The 17,626-nt window shown below is 54.2% G+C and overlaps 1 protein-coding gene across 6 annotated transcripts, besides 3 other annotated features; it reads right to left on the bottom strand.

Annotated features, from left to right (window-relative positions):
• Window positions 1-1,531: 1,531 nt before the first annotated feature.
• RCN3 (reticulocalbin 3) lies at window positions 1,532-17,162 on the bottom strand. Of its 6 annotated transcripts, none has more exons than XM_047439115.1 (8): window positions 17,107-17,162; window positions 16,784-16,933; window positions 16,451-16,698; window positions 10,770-10,972; window positions 7,960-8,132; window positions 5,986-6,157; window positions 2,413-2,612; window positions 1,532-2,059 (listed from the first exon to the last, which is right to left on the bottom strand). In XM_047439115.1, the coding sequence occupies exons 3-8, from the start codon at window positions 16,690-16,692 to the stop codon at window positions 1,952-1,954; spliced, it is 1,098 nt and encodes a 365-aa protein (XP_047295071.1). In that variant the 5' UTR covers window positions 16,693-16,698; window positions 16,784-16,933; window positions 17,107-17,162; the 3' UTR covers window positions 1,532-1,951. The 6 variants fall into 6 exon arrangements, with proteins under 6 accessions (XP_047295071.1, XP_047295073.1, XP_047295072.1 ...); XM_047439117.1 differs by having other exon boundaries at window positions 5,986-6,046; XM_047439116.1 differs by having other exon boundaries at window positions 16,784-17,162.
• Window positions 10,936-11,225: a silencer, noted in NCBI's record as "silent region_10920". NCBI's record gives its function as "represses an Ori minimal core promoter by ATAC-STARR-seq in GM12878 lymphoblastoid cells {active_cell/tissue: GM12878}" and the evidence as "EXISTENCE:reporter gene assay evidence [ECO:0000049][PMID:35858748]".
• Window positions 16,668-17,246: an enhancer, noted in NCBI's record as "H3K4me1 hESC enhancer chr19:50031176-50031754 (GRCh37/hg19 assembly coordinates)". NCBI's record gives its function as "activates a minimal SCP1, AML or CMV promoter by ChIP-STARR-seq in primed H9 embryonic stem cells {active_cell/tissue: H9 hESC(primed)}" and the evidence as "EXISTENCE:reporter gene assay evidence [ECO:0000049][PMID:30033119]".
• Window positions 17,085-17,204: a silencer, noted in NCBI's record as "silent region_10919". NCBI's record gives its function as "represses an Ori minimal core promoter by ATAC-STARR-seq in GM12878 lymphoblastoid cells {active_cell/tissue: GM12878}" and the evidence as "EXISTENCE:reporter gene assay evidence [ECO:0000049][PMID:35858748]".

Genomic DNA, 17,626 nt, shown 5'->3' with positions numbered 1-17,626 from the left:
TAAATAGAGATATGGTCTCTATAAATGGCGTGAGCCCGGGAGGTGGAGCTTGCAGTGAGGTGAGAGTGCGCCACTGCACTCCAGCCTGGGCGACAGAGCGAGACTCCGTCTCAAAAAAAAAGAAAGAAAAAAAAAAAGAGATGCCATCTTTATAAAAGATCATCCCAGACTGGTCTTGAACTCCTGGCCTCAAGCAATCCTTGATTAATCCTTGGGATTACAGGCGTGAACCACTGCGCCCAACCCGACTCTTAAATAACTCAAAGCAGTTTATAATCCCTCCTCTGCTCATGACACTCCAGCGACTCTCATGTCACTCAGAATAAATTCTGTGTCTCTCTGGGTCTCTATCCCCATTCTCTTTGGATCTCTGTCCCCCACTCTCTGGGTCTCTGTTTCCCTCTCTCTGAGTTTCTGTCTCCCTCTCTCTGGGTCTCTGTTCCCCTCTCTCTCTCTGGGTCTCTGTTCCCCTCTCTCTCTGGGTCTCTGTTCCCCTCTCTCTCTGGGTCTCTGTCCCTCTCTCTCTGGGTCTCTGTTCCCCTCTCTCTCTGGGTCTCTGTCCCTCTCTCTCTGACTCCCCACCCCTTCTCTCTGGGTCTCTGTCCATCCCTGTCTTGTGCCACCAAACAGGGACCACCATGACCTGCCTGCAGGGGCCTGCACAGTCTGGCCACTTGCCCCATCTGCTCTCAGCTCTGACCCTCTTCCACTGGCTCATTCCCTTCCAGCCACTCTAGCCTCCTTGCTGATGCTGCCACACCAGGCCCACTCCTGCCTCAGGGCCATTTTACTTGCTCTTCTCTCTCCCTGGAATGCTCTCCCTCCAGATCTCTCCGTGGCTCCCTCCTTCACTCCATTTACCATTGAGACCTTTCCCAGCCTCTCAGTCATCAGAACATTGCCACACTGCTACACGCTTCCCCTGCTTCACAGCATCTGTTGCGCCGTGCCATATTTTAGGTCGCTGTGTCTCTTCCTTACAGAACTGGAGCTCTGAGAGGGCAGGGCTTCCTGTCTGGTTTGTGCGCTGCAGAGTCCAGGCTTTTTTTCCCTTTTTTTTTTGAGACAGAGTCTCCCTCTGTCACCCAGGCTGGAGTGCAGTGGCGCCATTTCGGCTCACGACAACCTCCACCTCCCGGGTTCAAGCGATTCTGCTTCAGCCTCCAGAGTAGCTGGGATTATAGGTGCCCATCACCAGGCCTGGTTAATTTTTGTATTTCTAGTAGAGACGGGGTTTCACCATGTTGGCCAGGCTGGTCTAGGACCCCCGACCTCGTGATCTACCCGCCTCAGCCTCCCAAATTGCTGGGCTTACAGGCGTGAGCCACCGGGCCTGGCCCAATTTTTTTTGTTTGTTTGTTTTATACTGAGGAACGCCCTCCAATCCCTCCAACACCCAGCACCCCTCCTTCAAATGCCTGGTCCCCTATTGCATGTCTCAGCCCCCAACTCCCAGTCACAGCCCCCAAACCATCTCCAGGGCCCCCTTACCCTTCATAGAGACAGGCAGACAACAGACAGACACACAAGGTCCCGGCGCTGGCTTTTATTGCCTCCTGGCAGAGAGGAGGTGTCCCAGGCCAGGCCAGGCAGGAGAGGGCTGGGGCCAGGGGAGTTTCAGTCTATGTGGTGGAGGCTCAGATTTGGAGCTGGAGGGGTTGGGGCGGTTCTTAGAGCTGAGCTTGGGGCCAAGGGTCCCTGGGTCTGGGCTGGGAGACTCAGTCAGAAATAGGTATTGCTTATCCTCTGGGACTATGACAGCCCCTCCCTGGGGTTGGGGGTGTGACAGGGACAGAAGCCGACCCAGGGGGTCCCTGAGAGCCCAGGGGCAGGAGGATGCCTGGGACTGCATCTGCCTCCTGCGGGGCCTGGACAGGGAGGGGGCCAGACCACAGCGGCCCCTCCTCCGGTCATTGTGCGGGCCTCTGAGGCTGTGGCAGGTGCGCGGTGCTCACAGCTCATCGTGGTGCCGGGTCAGGTCCTCGCCATAGTTGGTGGCCTGACTGCCCACAAACATGTTCCAATTACCCAGGATTTCCGCTTTGCTCAGCCGCCCATCCTGGAGGGAGGGTCAGGGTTCAGAGGGGACAACACGGCCCTGCTTTCAAAAGCCCTCCCTGCATCCAAGCGTGTCCCGAAGTCTCTGGGACCCTTGTTCTCTGGGCCTCTGTCCCTTTCTCTCTGAATCTGTCCCCGTCTTGGTCCCTGTCCTTCTCTCTTTGGGTCTCTGGGTCTCTGTCCCCCTCTCTTTCTGGGGCTCCGTGCCCTCTCTTTTCCTCCCTCTCTCTGTCCCTCTTTTTTTATCCCACCTAAAAGGGACCCTGAGCTCCAGGCCCAGGTCTTGCTCCTTTCTGGAGTCTGGCCCGCAATGCCCACCCGCTCCTCGCTCCTGCCGAGGCCCCGTCACTGCACCTTGTCCGTGTCGCTCTCGTGCAGCAGGTGGTTGGCTTCCACCAGGGGCTGGTCCTGGGCAGGGGGCAGCACCCAGTGGCCCACCTCACTCCCATCCAGGTGCCCATCCTTGTTCAGATCCCGGAAGTCCCGGAACTGCTGCCTCTCCGTCTGCACCCACGCCGGCTCCTCCTCCCCAGGCTCGGCTGAGTACAGATCCGCTGGGGGCCGGGACAGAGGGGACAAGGTCAGGGGCAGCTCTGGGGGTCTAGTGGAGCTGGGGGCTGATCCTGGCTCTGATACTTCCTGAACCAGGCCCTTGAGCAACTCACTACCCTCTCTCTCGCCTCAGCGTCCTCTTCTGTTTCGATGGAATTAGTAACAAAACCTGACTTATAAGCAATCATTTGTGTTACAGGTGAAATTCATTTGATTGGTTGATTGCATGATTGATTGATTTCATTGACACACACGTGAAGTAGTGTGTGCAATGGGCAAGGCAGTGCCTGGCACATAGTAAGCAATGTCTATGCAGGAGGAACGTGCGAGGATGTTTCTGGCCAGTTAGCAGGTGACAGAGATGCCAGGTGCAGTGATGACTGTAATCCAACACTTTGGGAGACCCAGGCAGGAGGGTCATTTGAGGCCAAGATTCAAGACCAACCTGGGCAACATAGCAAGACCCTGTTTCTACAAATTTTTTTTTTTTTTTTTGAGATGGAGTCTCGCTGTGATTACCCCACTGCACTCCAGCCTGGGCAACAGGGCAAGACCCCACCCCCTTTTTTTTTTTAAGATGGAGTTTCGCTCTTGTTGCCCAGGCTGTAGTGCAATGGCGCAATCTCAGCTCACTGCAACCTCTGCCTCCCAGGTTCAAGCGATTCTCCTGCCTCAGCCTCCCAAGTAGCTGGGATTACAGGTGCGTGCCACCACACCCAGCTAATTTTTATATTTTTAGTAGAGGCGGGGTTTCACCATCTTGGCCAGGCTGCTCTCAAACTCCTGACCCCATGATCCACCTGCCTCAGTCTCCCAAAGTGCTGGGATTACAGGCTGGAGTGCAGTGACACAATCTCAGCTCACTGCAACCTGCACCTTCTGGGTTCAAGTGATTCTCCTGCCTCAGCCTCCCAAGTAGCTGGGATTACAGGTACCCGCCACCACGCCCAGCTAATTTTTCTAGTTTTAGTAGAGACAGGGTTTCATCATGTTGGCCAGGCTGGTCTTGAACTCTTGACCTCAAGTGATCCACCCACCTTGGCCTCCTAAAGTGCTGGGAATACAGGCGTGAGCCATGGCACCCACCCCAATTTTATACATTTTGATATGTTACTGGTTGGGGAGGAGTTAAGAAATAGGTGCCAGAGCCCAAACACCAAGGTTCAAATCCTAGCCCTGCCTCTTCCCATTGTCTTCAGCAGATCCCTTCAACCCCCCTGGGCCTCAGGTGTCATCTATATAATGGAGGATAGTGACAGTGTCTGCCTGGTAGAGCTGAGGAATGGAAGATGAAGTCTTAATGGGATGAAGTAATTGAGAAGATAGGCTGGGTGCGGTGGTTCGCGCCTGTAATCCCAGCACTTTGGGAGGCCGAGGCAGGTGGATAACCTGAGGTCAAGAGTTCAAGACCAGCCTGACCAAAATGGTGAAACCCCGTCTCTACTAAAAATACAAAATTAGCCAGGCGTGGTAGTGCACGCCCATAATCCCACCTACTCAGGAGGCTGAAACAAGAGAATTGCTTGAACCTGGGAGGCGGAGGTTGCAGTGAGCCGAGATCATGCCACTGCACTCCAGCCTGGGCGACAATAGCGAGACTCTGTCTCAAAAAAAAAAAAAAAGAGATGGGGACAGCTGCTGGCATCTGGGGCCTGTGACCTCCTTGTTGTCAGGGCCTGTCCTGTGCACCGGAGAATGCTAAGGAGCATCTCTGGGCTCTATCCAGGAGACGTCAGTAGCATCCTCACCCCTCTAGAAGTGACAACCAGAAGTATCTCCAGAGGCCGCACTGTGCCTGGAGTCTCAGCTACTTGGGAGGCTGAGGTGGGAGGATCCCTTGAGCCCAGGAGGTCAAGGCTGCAGTGAGCCAAGATCACCCCACTGCACTCCAGCCTGGGCGACAGGGCAAGACCCCATCTTTTTTTTTTTTTTTTAAGATGGAGTTTCGCTCTTGTTGCCCAGACTGAAGTGCAATGGCGCGATTACAGCTCACTGCAACCTTTGCCTCCCGGGTTCCAGAGATTCTCTTGCCTCAGTCCCCAGAGTAACTGGGATTACAGGCTCCTGCCAACAGGCCCGGCTAATTTTTGTATTTTTAGTACACCATCTTGGCCAGGCTGGTCTCGAACTCCTGACTTCATGATCCATCCATCTCAGCCTCCCAAAGTGCTGGGATTACAGGTATGAGCCACTGCGCCTGGCCCAACCCCATCTCTTAAGAAAAAAATATAAAAATGTTCTCTCAGCCAGGTGTGGTGATTCATGCCTGTAATCTCAGCTCTTTGGGAGGCCAAGGTGGGAAGATTGCTTGAGCCCAGGAGTTCTAGACCAGCCTGGACAATATAGTGAGAACCCATCTCTATTTAATAAAGAGAGAGACACACACACACACAGACAGACAGATAGAAAGAAAGAGTGACAGAAAGAAAGAAAGTGAGAGAAGGAAAGAAAGAAAAATGTTTTCTCATGTAGGATGTGGTCAGAAAAAAATAAAAGAATAAACAATGTTTTCAAACTTAAAAAAAAATTCCTGGCCGGGCGTGGTTGCTCACGCCTGTAATCCCACCACTTTGGGAGGCCAAGATGAGCAGATCACCTGAGGTTGGGAGTTCTAGACCAGCCTGGCCAACATGGTGAAATCCCATCTCCACTAAAAATACAAAAATTAGCCAGGCGTGGTGGCAGGCACCAGTAATCCCAGCTACTCAGGAGGCTGAGGCAGAAGAATCTCTTGAGCCCGGGAGGCGGAGGTTGCAGAGAGCCGATACCACGCCACCGCGCTCCAGCCTGAGCAACAGAAAAAAACTGTCTCAAAAAAAAAAAAAAAAAAAAAAAATTCCTTGTTAGCGTTCTCCTTGACTAAATTTTTTGCCCGCTAGGGGCAGGGACAGTGGCAGGGGCCCAGGGAGAACTCAGAACTCAGGGGGTATTGTGAGGATCCCCCAACATCCCATGTAACAGGAAACAGTGTTTGCTGTGCAGGCGCAGGTTCAAGACCAGCTTCCTGACCCCCATTCTCAACTAAACATAGCCCCTGAGCCTTGATTTTGTAGAAACTCCAGACCCCCAAGAAGGGATTTGTCTGTGTTATTGTCTGCTGTAGGCGCAACCACCCATATGCAGTAGGTGCTCAGTAAGTGTATCCTGGGCGTGACACACAGCAGGTGCTCAATAGATGCTTTTTGTGTCTGGTATAGAGTAGGTGCTCAATAAATGTTGGGTGGCTAAATGAACTCAAGCAGTGAGTGCCCCTGCCCCCATGTCTGAGGGCCACTGTTCTCTGATGATGGGTGATGTACCTCCGGCTACCCCCACCAACCCTGCCCATGCCTGAGAGAGGACAGGCATCCCAAGAAGAAATTGGGGCCCACTCACCGATGTACTCCTCCACCTGGACATAGCCATCTTTGTTTCTGTCCAGGTCCTCCAGGGTTTCCTGGAGGAGAAAGGGGCATTGAGGCTGGGGGCCGATGACCCTGGCTCCTGGGGGAGGCTGGACCCCTGGGGTAAGAGTGAGAGGTTCTCTTGGAAATTTAGCTCCGGGCAGCTGTGGGAGGCAGGCAGTAGAGCAGTCTCAACAGGTGGCATGTGGGAAATTTGCGGGCTTTCTGGGATGTTATCATCAAACAGGCACCACCTGCATTTACGGGGCCAGAGCCCAGAGGCCCTAATGTCCAGCAGTGCACAGGTTTGTTGCTCACAAGGGGAGCTGTCCTGGGTCCCTAATAACTTGCTCAAGCCCCAGCAAACACCCTCCAAGGGGAGAAGCTCCTTTATGTTTAGCAGAGCCTAGAACCTACCTCTGCTTTATGTGTGAACATGGTGCACTTTGGGGCTTCTTCTGACACACTGGACACCTCCGCTCCTTGTTTTTGTGCCCTTCTGGAGCAAAACGACTTTTGTTCCCCAATTTATATCCAAACTCATTCACTATAAGACTGTGGGCTGGGCACGGTGGCTCACACCTGTAATCCCAGCACTTTGGGAGGCCGAGGCGGGAGGATCGATTGAGCCCAGGATTTTGAGACTAGCCTGGGCAACATGGCGAGACCCTGTCTCTACACAAAATTTAAAAATTAGCCAGGCATGGCCGGGCGTGGTGGCTCACAACTGTAATCCCAGCACTTTGGAAGGCCGAGGTGGGTGGATCACGAGGTCAGGAGATCGAGACCATCCTGGCTAACACAGTGAAACCCCGTCTCTACTAAAAAAAAAAAAAAAAAAATTAGCCGGGCATGGCGGCATGCGCCTGTAGTCCCAGCCACTCGGGAGGCTGAGGCAGAAGAATGGAGTGAACCCGGGAGGCAGAGCTTGCAGTGAGCCGAGATCGCATCACTGCACTCCAGCATGGGCGACAGAGCGAGACTCCGTCTGAAAAAAAAAAAAAAAAAAACATTAGCCAGACATGGTGGCTTGTGCCTGGTGGCCTCAGCTTCTCAGAAGGCGGAGGTGGGAGGATTACTTGAGCCCAAGAGTTTGAGGTTGCAGTGAGCTGAGATTGAGCCACTGCCCTCCGGTCTGGGTAACAGAGTTAGGCCCTGTCTCAAAAACTAAAAAAAAAAAAGAGGAAGGAAAGAAAAAAAAAGCCTTCTTCTATAGAACAAAGCACATTTTGGGGCCAGGCACGGTGGCTCATGCCTGTAATCCCAGCACTTTGGGAGGCCAAGGTGGGCAGATCACCTGAGGTCCGGAGTTCAAGACCAGCCTGGCCAACATGGTGAAATCCCATCTCTACTAGAAAAAAAAATTAAAAATTGGCCGGGCACGGTGGCTCATGCCTATAATCCTAGCACTTTGGGAGGCTGAGGCGGGCGGATCACCTGAGGTCAAAAGTTTGAGACCAGCCTAACCAACATGAAGAAACCCTGTCTCTACTAAAAATTAGCCAGGTGTGGTGGTGCGCCCCTGTAATCCCAGCTACTCGGGACGCTGAGGCAGGAGAATTGCTTGAACCCGGGAGGCGGAGGTTGCAGTGAGCTGAGATCGCACCACTGCTTTCCAGCCTGGGCAACCGAGGGAGACTATGTCTCAAAAAAAAAAAAGAAAGAAAAGAAATTGTATAAGGTGGGGCACAGTGGCTGTCTGAGGGAAGGCTGGGGGCCTGGACCCCAAATGCGAGCACAGGGAGGGGAAGGCCAGACGAGGAGAGATCAGACCCCAGGGGACTGAGAGTGGAGGTGGGAAAGGTCACCGTCCTCTGACCTGTGTTTGCGGCCTGGCTTCCCCGGCAAGATGCTGGAGAACCAGGTGACTGCCTGCCCCCAGGTCGGTGCTGGGAAGCAGGACCTGAACCGGAAGCCTGGGTCCCCGGAAGGGTGTGGGGGACAGGGTTCCCCAGCCGCCACTCACAGCAATCACGATGTCCCGCATGTGAGGGAACTCCTCGGGGTGCAGGAAGGCTGTCAGCTCCTCTCGAGTGGCCATCGAGTCCCCATCCTGGTCGGCCACCCGGAAACGCCGCTCGTCCCGAGCCAGCATCTTTTTGTAGGTCTCTGCATCCTCCACGTCATGAAATTCTTCACCTGGGGAAGGACAGGTCTCAGTGAGATGAGCTTTAATGGAGGAAACGCCAAGCAGGTTAAAACAAAGACAAAGTAAATCCTACTGGGGTACAAAGATTTCTGTGGAGTTAATAAGTATATATCAGTAGGCTGGATGCAGTGGCTCACGCCTGTAATAGCAGCACTTTGGGAGGCTGAAGCTGGCAGATCACTTGAGGTCAGGAGTTTGAGACCAGCCTGGCCAACATGGCGAAACCCCATCTCTACCAAAAAAATACTTAGCCGGGCATGGTGGGGCACGCCTGTAATCCCAGCTACTCGGGAGTCTGAGGCACAAGAGTCGATTGAACCCAGGAAGCGGAGGTTGCCGTGAGCTGAGACTGCACCACTGCTTTCCAGCCTGGGCGACAGAGGGAGGCTATGTCTCAAAAAAAAAAAAAAAAAAATTTTAGAAGCCTGGCACAGTGGCTCACACCTGTAATCCCAGCACTTTGGGAGGCCGAGGTGGGTGGATCGCCTGAGGTCAGGAGTTCGAGACCAGCCTGGTCAACATGGTGAAACTCCTTCTCTACTAAAAATACAAAAATTTGCCTGGCATGGTGGTGGGCGCCTGTAGTCCTAGCTACTCGTGAGGCTGAGGCAGGAGAATTGCTTGAACCCAGGAGGATGAGGTTGTAGTAAGCCGAGACCTTGCCATTGCACTGCAGCCTGGCCAACAAGAGTGAAACTCCATTCCATCTCAAAAAAAAAAAAAAAAAAAAAAAAGTAGGCCGGGTGCGGTGGCTCAAACCTGTAATCACAGCACTTTGGGAGGCCGAGGTGGGCAGATCACCTGAGGTTGGGAGTTCGAGACCAGCCTGACCAACATGGAGAAACCCCATCTCTACTAAAAATACAAAATTAGCCAGGCGTGGTGGCGCATGCCTGTAATCCCAGCTACTTGGGAGGCTGAGGCAGGAAAATCGCTTGAACCCGGGAGGCGGAGGTTGCAGTGAGCCGAGACCACGCCACTGCACTCCAGCCTGGGCAACAAGAGCAAAACTCCCTCACAAAAAAAAAAAAGCATATATTGATACTTTATATATAATTTGTATATATATTTAAGTATATAATATGTTATATAACATATTATTAGTATGTGTGTGTATATCTATATCTATCTATCTATCTATCTATCTATATATATATATATTTTTTTTTTTTTGAGACAGAGTCTCACTCTGTCGCCAAGGCCAGAGTGCAGTGATGTGATCTCGGCTCACTGCAACTTCTGCCTCCTGGGTTCAAGTGATTCTCTTGCCTCACCCTCCAGAGTAGCTGTGATCACAGGTGCACACCATCACGCCCAGCTAAGTATTTTTTTGTGGTAAGACGGGGTTTTGCCACATTGGCCAGGCTGGTCTCTAACTTCTGATCTCACGTGATCCACCCACCTCGGCCTCCCAAAGTGCTGGGATTACAGGCGTGAGCCATGGCACCCAGGCTATGTAACATATTATATCCACCCAATAAATTAGCTAACTTGTGAGAGATTATATGCTAAGCTCTTTATGCACAATATTGCATTTAATCATCACAAAAAAGCACATACAGTGGGTTTTTCCATGTATTCTACTTTCTGAATGCAAAAATTGATTCTCAGAGAGAAGAAATAACTGATCCAAGCGTGTGGAGACAGGAATGGCCCACTATGAGTTGACAGTGGGCCTTTTGGCCCCAGACTAAGGCTGTGATGGGGTAGCTTACAGGGACTGAGATGGCTTGACTGAGAGGAGGGGACGGGCATTGTAACTGGAGGGAACAATATGGGCAGAAGGTAGAGGTTTGAAGAGTGTGGTGAGTTCAGGAAAACCACAGAAAATCCATTTGGTGCAGAAAATGCAGAAAAACAAAGCCACAGGAGGAAACGTCCCGGCTGGGGAGTGGGACCGTCTCCTGGGGGCCCAGGAGGGGGAGGGAGGGGCAGAGTCAGTGCTGGGCATGAAGAACCCCGCCCCCGGAGCCCTGTGGAGGACAGACTGGACGGGGAGGCTGGGGCCAGGGACAGAGAGGAGAGGAGGGAGAGAATGAGGGCTGTGTGTGTGGCAGGGTGTGGGGCACTGAGGCTGGGACTTGGGACAGAAAGGAGGGATCTGAGAGTCAGGGGCTGAGTAACTGGCTTTGGGGTTCTCAGGATGAGAGGTCACAGAAGTTAGGGGTCAGGATGACAAGGCATGGAAAGTAGGTGTCCTTGGCCAGGGATCTCAAGTACCCTAGTCATATTGTCACAGAGGTGGTGAGTCCCAGAATGAAAGCCCTGAAGGGAACCTGGGTAGCTTAGTTGGTAGAGCATTGGACTTTTAATTTGAGGGCCCAGGTTTCAAGTCCCTGTTTGGGTGCGTTCAGTGGCTTTTAGCACCTAATTGTGACTTCATGTTTGAAAAAAAGATCGTTTTTAGCATGCAGCTAAATACCAGAAAAATAAGCAGACGAAAAACAAAAAAGAGAAGCCAGAGGTGAGAAACTGAAGATCTCACAGTTATGGGCTCCTAAAAGTGGGTAGAGCCTGGTTAGGGGCCAGGGACTCCGGGTAAATGGGTTCAGGGTTCTCAGAATGAGGCGGTCCAGAAGGTCAGGGTCACGGTGTATGGGGAGCAGGGTCGGGGGCTCGCCGCGTACCGGGCGCGTAGTGGCCATAGGTGGCGTTGCGCAGCTCCTCCCAACCCACACGCCCGTCGCGGTCCGTGTCGTACGTGTCCCAGGCCGCGCTCACCGAGTCCCGTATGTGCCGCTGCTGCGTGTGCGCGATCCACGCGCGAAGCTCGGCCAGCGACACCCAGCCGTCGCCGTCCCCCGCGCGGTCCATGCGGTCCACGATCCGCCTAGAAGCCGGGGCGGGCACACGTCAGGCTCTGGTCCCGCCCCCAGGCCCCGCCCCTCGCACGGGCCACGCCCCCTGGGACACTTCGGATCCGGGGCTGAAAATACAGTCCACGGTCCGCGGGCTAACTGGGGAGGGGCGCGGGTCAATTTCGGGACCAAGCCCACCGGAGGACCCTACCCCTCAGCCTAGGGTCCACCCCCAGGTCGAGTCACGCCCTTCTCCAGAACGAGCGGGCCTGCTGGGAGCACTGCGGGGGAGGGACCTACTACGATGCAGGGCCACCCTCTCCGCGCCGGCCCCGCCCTCGGCCTGCACGTGCTGCACCTCTCGCTGGGCCGAGCTGGGGTGGTGAAGGGGAGCGCGGCGTCGCACTGTGACCCTTGCCAAGGGGGCCCTGTTGCAAGATTGACTCTGAACCCAGACAGCCACGGCCACACCCCCGATCCCCCGCTGTCTCAGGCCCCGACCCGCCCCATGCCCCTCCCCCTTACCAGGCTGCGCGTGTCAATTTCAGGCTCCTCTCCCTCCAGCCCTGCCCTGTGCTGAGCCCCGTGGCTTTCCCCTGCCTGCTCCCGGCTGAATCAGGCACTGCCTGAGGACCATCACCCGCAACCCCGGGGGCTCAGTCTCCCTCTGCCCCTCCCCATGCTCCTCCGGGCTCCTGTGCCCCTCCCTGTCGCATGTCAAGCCACTTTAGGTTCCATCTCTCCCCTTCTCTTGGGCCACGCCTATCAGCTCTCGGGCCCCTCTCCTCTCCCTTGGTGACGCCTTGCCAGGCCGGTCCTCTCCCAATCTCTAATTAACAGAGACTACCTGGAGCCCTCCTCCCTGTCACCGTCCCTAGGCCCCCGCGGCCCCCTCCCTAAAGTCGAAAATCCGAGACAGCAGAGCCCTCTCCAGGCCTGCCTGAGTCACCGCCCCACCTCCCGCACCAGGCGGTCTCTGCTCCAGTCTGTCTAGGGCCCCACTCTGTCCCCGGAATCACACCCTTCTCTGAGGTTCCTGGTGTTGTTAAGCGCTTGGGCTCCACAGCCAGACATTTTAGGTCCAAATCCAGCCACTTCCTCTTACTGGCTGTGTGACTGTGGGCAAGTGACTTAACCTCTCTGTGTCTCAGTTACCCCTCTGTAAAACGGAGGAAGAAAAAACGGTACCTACCCCAAAAGGGCGGTTGTGGGGAATAAATGAGTTAGGCCATGTAAAGCACTTAGGACAGGACAGGCGCGGTGGCTCACGCCTGTAATCCCAGCACTTTGGGAAGCCAAGACAGGCGAATCACTTGAGATCAGACGTTCCAGACCAGCCTGGTCCACATGGTGAAACCTTGTCTCTACTAAAAATACAAAAATTAGCAGGGCATGGTGGCACGCACCTGAAATCCCAGCTACTCTGGAGGCTGACGCGGGAGAATTGGTTGAATCTGGGAGGTGGAGGTTGCAGTGAGCCGAGATAGTACCACTGCACTCCAGCCTGGGCAACAGAGCGAGACTCCGTCTCAAATAATAATAACAATAATAGGCCGGGCACGGTGGCTCACGCCTGTAATCCCAGCACTTTGGGAGGCCGAAGTGGGCAGATCACCTGAGGTGAGGAGTTCCAGACCAGCCTGGCCAACATGGTGAAACCGTCTCTACTAAAAATACAAAAAGTAGCCGGGCACAGTGGTGGATGCCTGTAATATCCACTACTCGGGAGGCTGAGGCAGGAGAATTGCTTGAACCCAGGAGGCGTAGGTTGCAGTGAGCCGAGATCGTGCCACTGCACTCCAGCCTGGGCAACAGAGTAAGACCTTGTCTCAAAAACAAACAAACAAACAAAAAACACTTTGGAGGCCGAGGAGGGCGGATCACAAGGTCAGGAGATCGAGACCATCCTGGCTAACATGGTGAAACCCCGTCTCTACTAAAAATACAAAAAATTAGCCGGGCGTGGTGGCAGGTGCCTGTAGTCCCAGCTACTCGGGAGGCTGAGGCAGGAGAATGGCGTGAACCTGGGAGGCGCAGCTTGCAGTGAGCCGAGATCGCGCCGTTGCACTCCAGCCTGGATGACAGAGTGAGACTCTGTCTCAAAAAAAAAAAAAAAAAAAAAAAGGCCAGGCGCCATGGCTCACGCCTGTAATCCCAGTGCTTTGGGAGGCCGAGGTGGGTGGATCACGAGGTCAGCAGATCTAGACCATCCTGGCTAACACGGCGAAACCCCGTCTCTACTAAAAATACAAAAAAATTAGCTGGGCGTGGTGGTGGGCGCCTGTAGTCCCAGCTACTCGGGAGGCTGAGGCAGGAGAATGGCATGAACCCGGGAGGTGGAGCTTGCAGTGAGCCGAGATCACGCCACTGCACTCCAGACTGGGAGACAGAGCGAGACTGCGTCTCAAAATAATAATAATAATAACAATAATAAAGCACTTAGGACAATGCCTGGCATTGCCATTAGTGCTAAGCTAAATGTGCTAACCTGTCACTGCCCTTCTTCCTCCATTTCTCCTTCATGCATGCCCATCCAAGCACAATCTCCCAGCCAGCAGTCCTGGGGACCACTGCCACTGTCTCCACCCTGATCTGACCACCATCTTGTCTTGTCTTCCACCTGGACTATCGCAGTCGCTTCCTCACTGGGCTCCCTGCTTCTTGCTCCCTACAGTCTGTTCCCCACCTCGCAGCCAGCAGGATTCTCTCAAAACCTAAGTCAGCTCATGCCCTCCCTCAGTTCTACTCTCAATTGGAGAAAAGCCTAAATCTTCATCGTGGCCTAAAAGGCTTTGCATTGCATGATCTGACCCCCTTTGCATGGTCTCAGGCAATCCGCCCGCTTTGGACTCCCAAAGTGCTGGGATTGCAGGCGTGAGCCACTGCACCTGGCCCTCTCTCTTTTTGAGACAAAGTCTTGCTCTGTTGCTTAGGCTGGAGTGCAGCGGCATGATTTTGGCTCACTGCAGCCTTGACCTCCCAGGCCCAAGTGATCCTCCCTCCTCAGCCTCCCTAGTATCTGGGACTACAGGAGCACGCCACCATGCTGGGCTAATTTTTGTATTTGTTTTGTAGAGGCGGGGTATCACTATGTTGCCCAGGCTGGTCTTGAACTCCTGGGCTCAAGTGATCCCCCAGCCTTGGCCTCCCAAAGTGCTGGGATCACACACATGAACCACCATGCTGAACCCCTTTGCTCCTTCTCTGCCCTCACCTCCCACTCTCTCCCCTTTCTCACTGAGTTCCAGCCACACGGGCCTCAGAACTGTTGCTCTGACACTCCAAGCCCACTCCTGCCTCAGGGCCTTTGCACTTAACTGTTCTGTCTGCCTGGAATGCTATTCACTCCGATACCCACATGGCTCAAATACCACATACCACCTTCTCATGGAGGCCTTGTCCAAGTTCCCTGTTTAAAATTGCAGCTCCAGCCGGGTGCGGTGGCTCATGCCTATAATCCCAGCACTTCGGGAGGCCGAGGTGGGCAGATCACCTGAGGTCAGGAGGTCGATACCAGCCTGACCAACATGGAGAAACCCCATCTCTACTAAAAATACAAAATTAGCCGGGCATGGTGGTGCATGCCTGTAATCCCAGCTACTCGGAAGGCTGAGGCAGGAGAATCACTTGAACCCAGGAGGCGGAGGTTGTGGTGAGCCGAGATTGCGCCACTGCACTCCAGCCTGGGCAACAAGAGCAAAACTCCGTCTCAAAAAAAAAAAAAAAAGAAAAAAAAGAAAAATTACCTGGGCCTGGGCTGGGTGCTGTGGCTCACGCATTAATTCCAGCACTTTGGGAGGCCAAGGCGGGCGGATTGCCTGAGCTCAGGAGCTCGAGACCAGCCTGGGCAACACAGTGAAACCCCATCTCTACTAAAATACAAAAAAAAAAAAAAAAATTAGCTGGGCGTGTGGGCGTGCACCCATAGTCCCAGCTACTCGGAAGGCTGAGGCAGGAGAATTGCTTGAACCTGGGAGGCAGAGGTTGCATGAGCTGAGATCACGCCACTGCACTCTAGCCCGGGAGACAGAGTCTCACTCTGTCTCCAAAAAAAAAAAAGGAAAGAAAAAAAACTTTGCTGGATGTGGAGGCGTTCACTTGTAGCTAGGACTTGTAGCGTTCACTTGTAGCTAGGACTCTAGCTACTAGGGAGTACGAGGCAGAACAACTGGTTGAACCCGGGAGGCGGAGGTTCCACTGAGCCGAGATCACGTCACTGCACTCCAGCCTGGGTGACAGAGCGAGACTCCATCTCAAAAACAACAACAACAAAAATAAAAATAAAAAATAAAAATACAAAATTAGCTGGGCGTGGTGGCTAGCGCCTGTAATCCCAGCTACTTGGGAGGCTGAGACAGGACAATTGCTTGAGCCCAGGAGGTGGAGGTTGCAGTGAGCCGAGATCGCACCACTGCACTCCAGCCTGGGTGACAGAGCGAGACTCCATCTCAATAAGTAAATAAATAAATAAATAAATAAATAAAAATTGCAACTCCCCCCCACCAACAACCTCTCCCCTCCACACTTTCTGACTCTCTTGCTTTATCTTTCTTGGATGCATTTATCTCTATTTGATCCACTTTCTACTTATTGACTTCTTGCTGTTTCCCTCACCACAGTGTAAACTTCAGGAGGACAGATGTGTTAGCTGTTGTGACTTCAGCACCTAGAGCAGTGCCTGGCACATAGCAGGTGCTCGATAAACCTTTGCAGGCTCAATCAGTGTCAGGAGGATGCACAGAAGAAGGCGGCTGCTCCCATCGCGCCCCCCTGCGCTCAGGCCTGGACGGAGAGGGTGGACAGGGCTCCATTCCACCCAGCTCACCCTGAAACTCAGGGCTCTGCCACTCTCCTGCACTGGCCGGGCTCCTTAAAGGCCAAACCTCATTTTCCACACCAGTCCCTGCCATTTACAGAGCAGGAAACTGAGGCTTGGGGAGGGGAGATGTCTGGGACAAAAGAATAAGGAGCGCTTAGGGGGCAGAATCTAACCCAGATTTTGCTGCCCTCAAAGGTCCTCTTTTTTATTGTTGTTGTTGTTTTTTAGACGGAGTCTCACTTTGTCGCCCTGACTGGAGGGCAGTGGTGCAATTTTGGCTCACTGCAACCTCCACCTCCCAGGTTCAAGCGATTCTCCTGCCTCAGCCTCCCGAGTAGCTGGGATTACAGGTGCCCACCACCACGCCTGCCTAATTTTGTATTTTTAGTAGAGACGGGATTTCACCATGTTGGCCAGGCTGTTCTCGAACTCCTGACCTCAAGTGATCGGCCTGCCTTGGCCTCCCAAAGTGCTGGGATTACAGGCATGAGCCACCACGCCCGGTCTCAAAGGTCCTCTTTAGGCCTCAATTTTAACTTAATTTCTTTTTCCCAAGGATAGAAGGTAGAATTTCATTTCTCACAAAGAAATGAAGTTCAGTCCACGCCATTTCTCTGACCCCTGTCGATACCCCCGCGTCTCTCTCCTAAGCCCCACCTCTGGACACGCCCCAACCGAATGTCTCTCTTACCCCAGACGGGCCTGGCTTTCCTCTGGGGTGAGTTGGTCGAATTCCTTGGCCACTTCCCGTCCCAGGAAAGCCTCATGGTCGTACTGGAAGTTCCCGTGGGCGTCATCATGGGGAGCGTCGCTCAGGGGGGCCGCCTGGTGCACCCTCCCCTGGCCATGAGGGCCTGCGTCTGGGGATGGCTTCCCCTGGGCCCCGTGCCTCAGTAGCAACAGAAGCAGCAGAACTGATGGTCGCCACATCATCGGTCCCTGGGGAGTGGCAAAGGCCAGGGGTCAGGGGTCACAGGGATGGGGACAGACACGGGATAGGAGAATGGCGGGGTGGAGGGGTTACCTAGGACAGGACAGGGAGTTGGAAGTTGGCTGCAAGCTTTCGGGCTCAAAAAGGGCGGGCGATGGGGGAAAAGAGGGCGGGATGCTTAGAGGTAAAGCCACCTATGGGGAGGACCGAATCTTCTGACGGAGTCTCAGGGGGGTCCCAGACCTGCCAGGGGGAATTACAGAGACAGACGTGGCGCACATCCCACGCAAGGTGCAGGGCATAGTTGTGGCCAGCGAGAGGTCAGGCAGGCTCCCCGTCATTGCTCCCAGTCCGGACCCTGGTCCTCGACCCGAGCCGCCCTCCCTGGACAGAGGCCCCCCACCCACTCCCTTTACCCTGTTATCCAGCTTCGCTCCGCTCTCCACGCTCCGCTCTGCGTTCCCGCAAATGTGCCCAATTCGGCCGCTCTCCAGTCAGGCCCCGCCTCTGGCAGCGCAGAGCCCCGCCCCCCGCCCAATGAGCTCGCACGAGCGTCTCACGGGGCGGGGCCAATGAGTGCACGGGGTGCCGCGGGCACTCCTCGCCACGTCCACAAAGGAAACCGCGGCCTGCCCGGGGAAGAAGGGTGGGCGACACCGCAGTGACGCGGCCGGGGAGAACTACAACTCCTGGCAGTCGTCGCGGCACTCTGCCGTCCACCTCCAGCTGTTCTAGTCACAACGCCTCACGGGAAATGTATTTTTCCCTTTCCCTTTGTCAGGATGGTTTAAGAAAGAGGTGTACGTTCCAACACTTCTATACCAAACAAAACAAAACAAAACAAAAATAAACAAAAAGAACGAAAGAAAAGAAAAAAGGCCGGGCGCGGTGGCTCACGCCTGTAATCCCAGAACTTTGGGAGGCCGAGGCGGGCGG

Source organism: Homo sapiens, chromosome 19 (assembly GCF_000001405.40).
Source record: "Homo sapiens chromosome 19, GRCh38.p14 Primary Assembly".
NCBI classification, from domain to species: domain Eukaryota; kingdom Metazoa; phylum Chordata; class Mammalia; order Primates; family Hominidae; genus Homo; species Homo sapiens.
Note: the sequence above shows the minus strand (reverse complement) of the source record. Positions and strands in the feature narration are given on the sequence as shown.

Bases quoted from the DNA above. Each gene is read 5' to 3' on its own strand.
- RCN3 (XM_047439116.1), bottom strand. From the start codon at position 16,692: ATGATGTGGCGACCATCAGTTCTGCTGCTTCTGTTGCTACTGAGGCAC. The intron at 8,133-10,769 runs GTACGCGGCGAG...GTCCTTCCCCAG, and splicing joins CTATGGCCACTACGCGCCCG to GTGAAGAATTTCATGACGTG. The intron at 2,060-2,412 runs GTGCAGTGACGG...CCCTCCCTCCAG, and splicing joins ACGAGAGCGACACGGACAAG to GATGGGCGGCTGAGCAAAGC.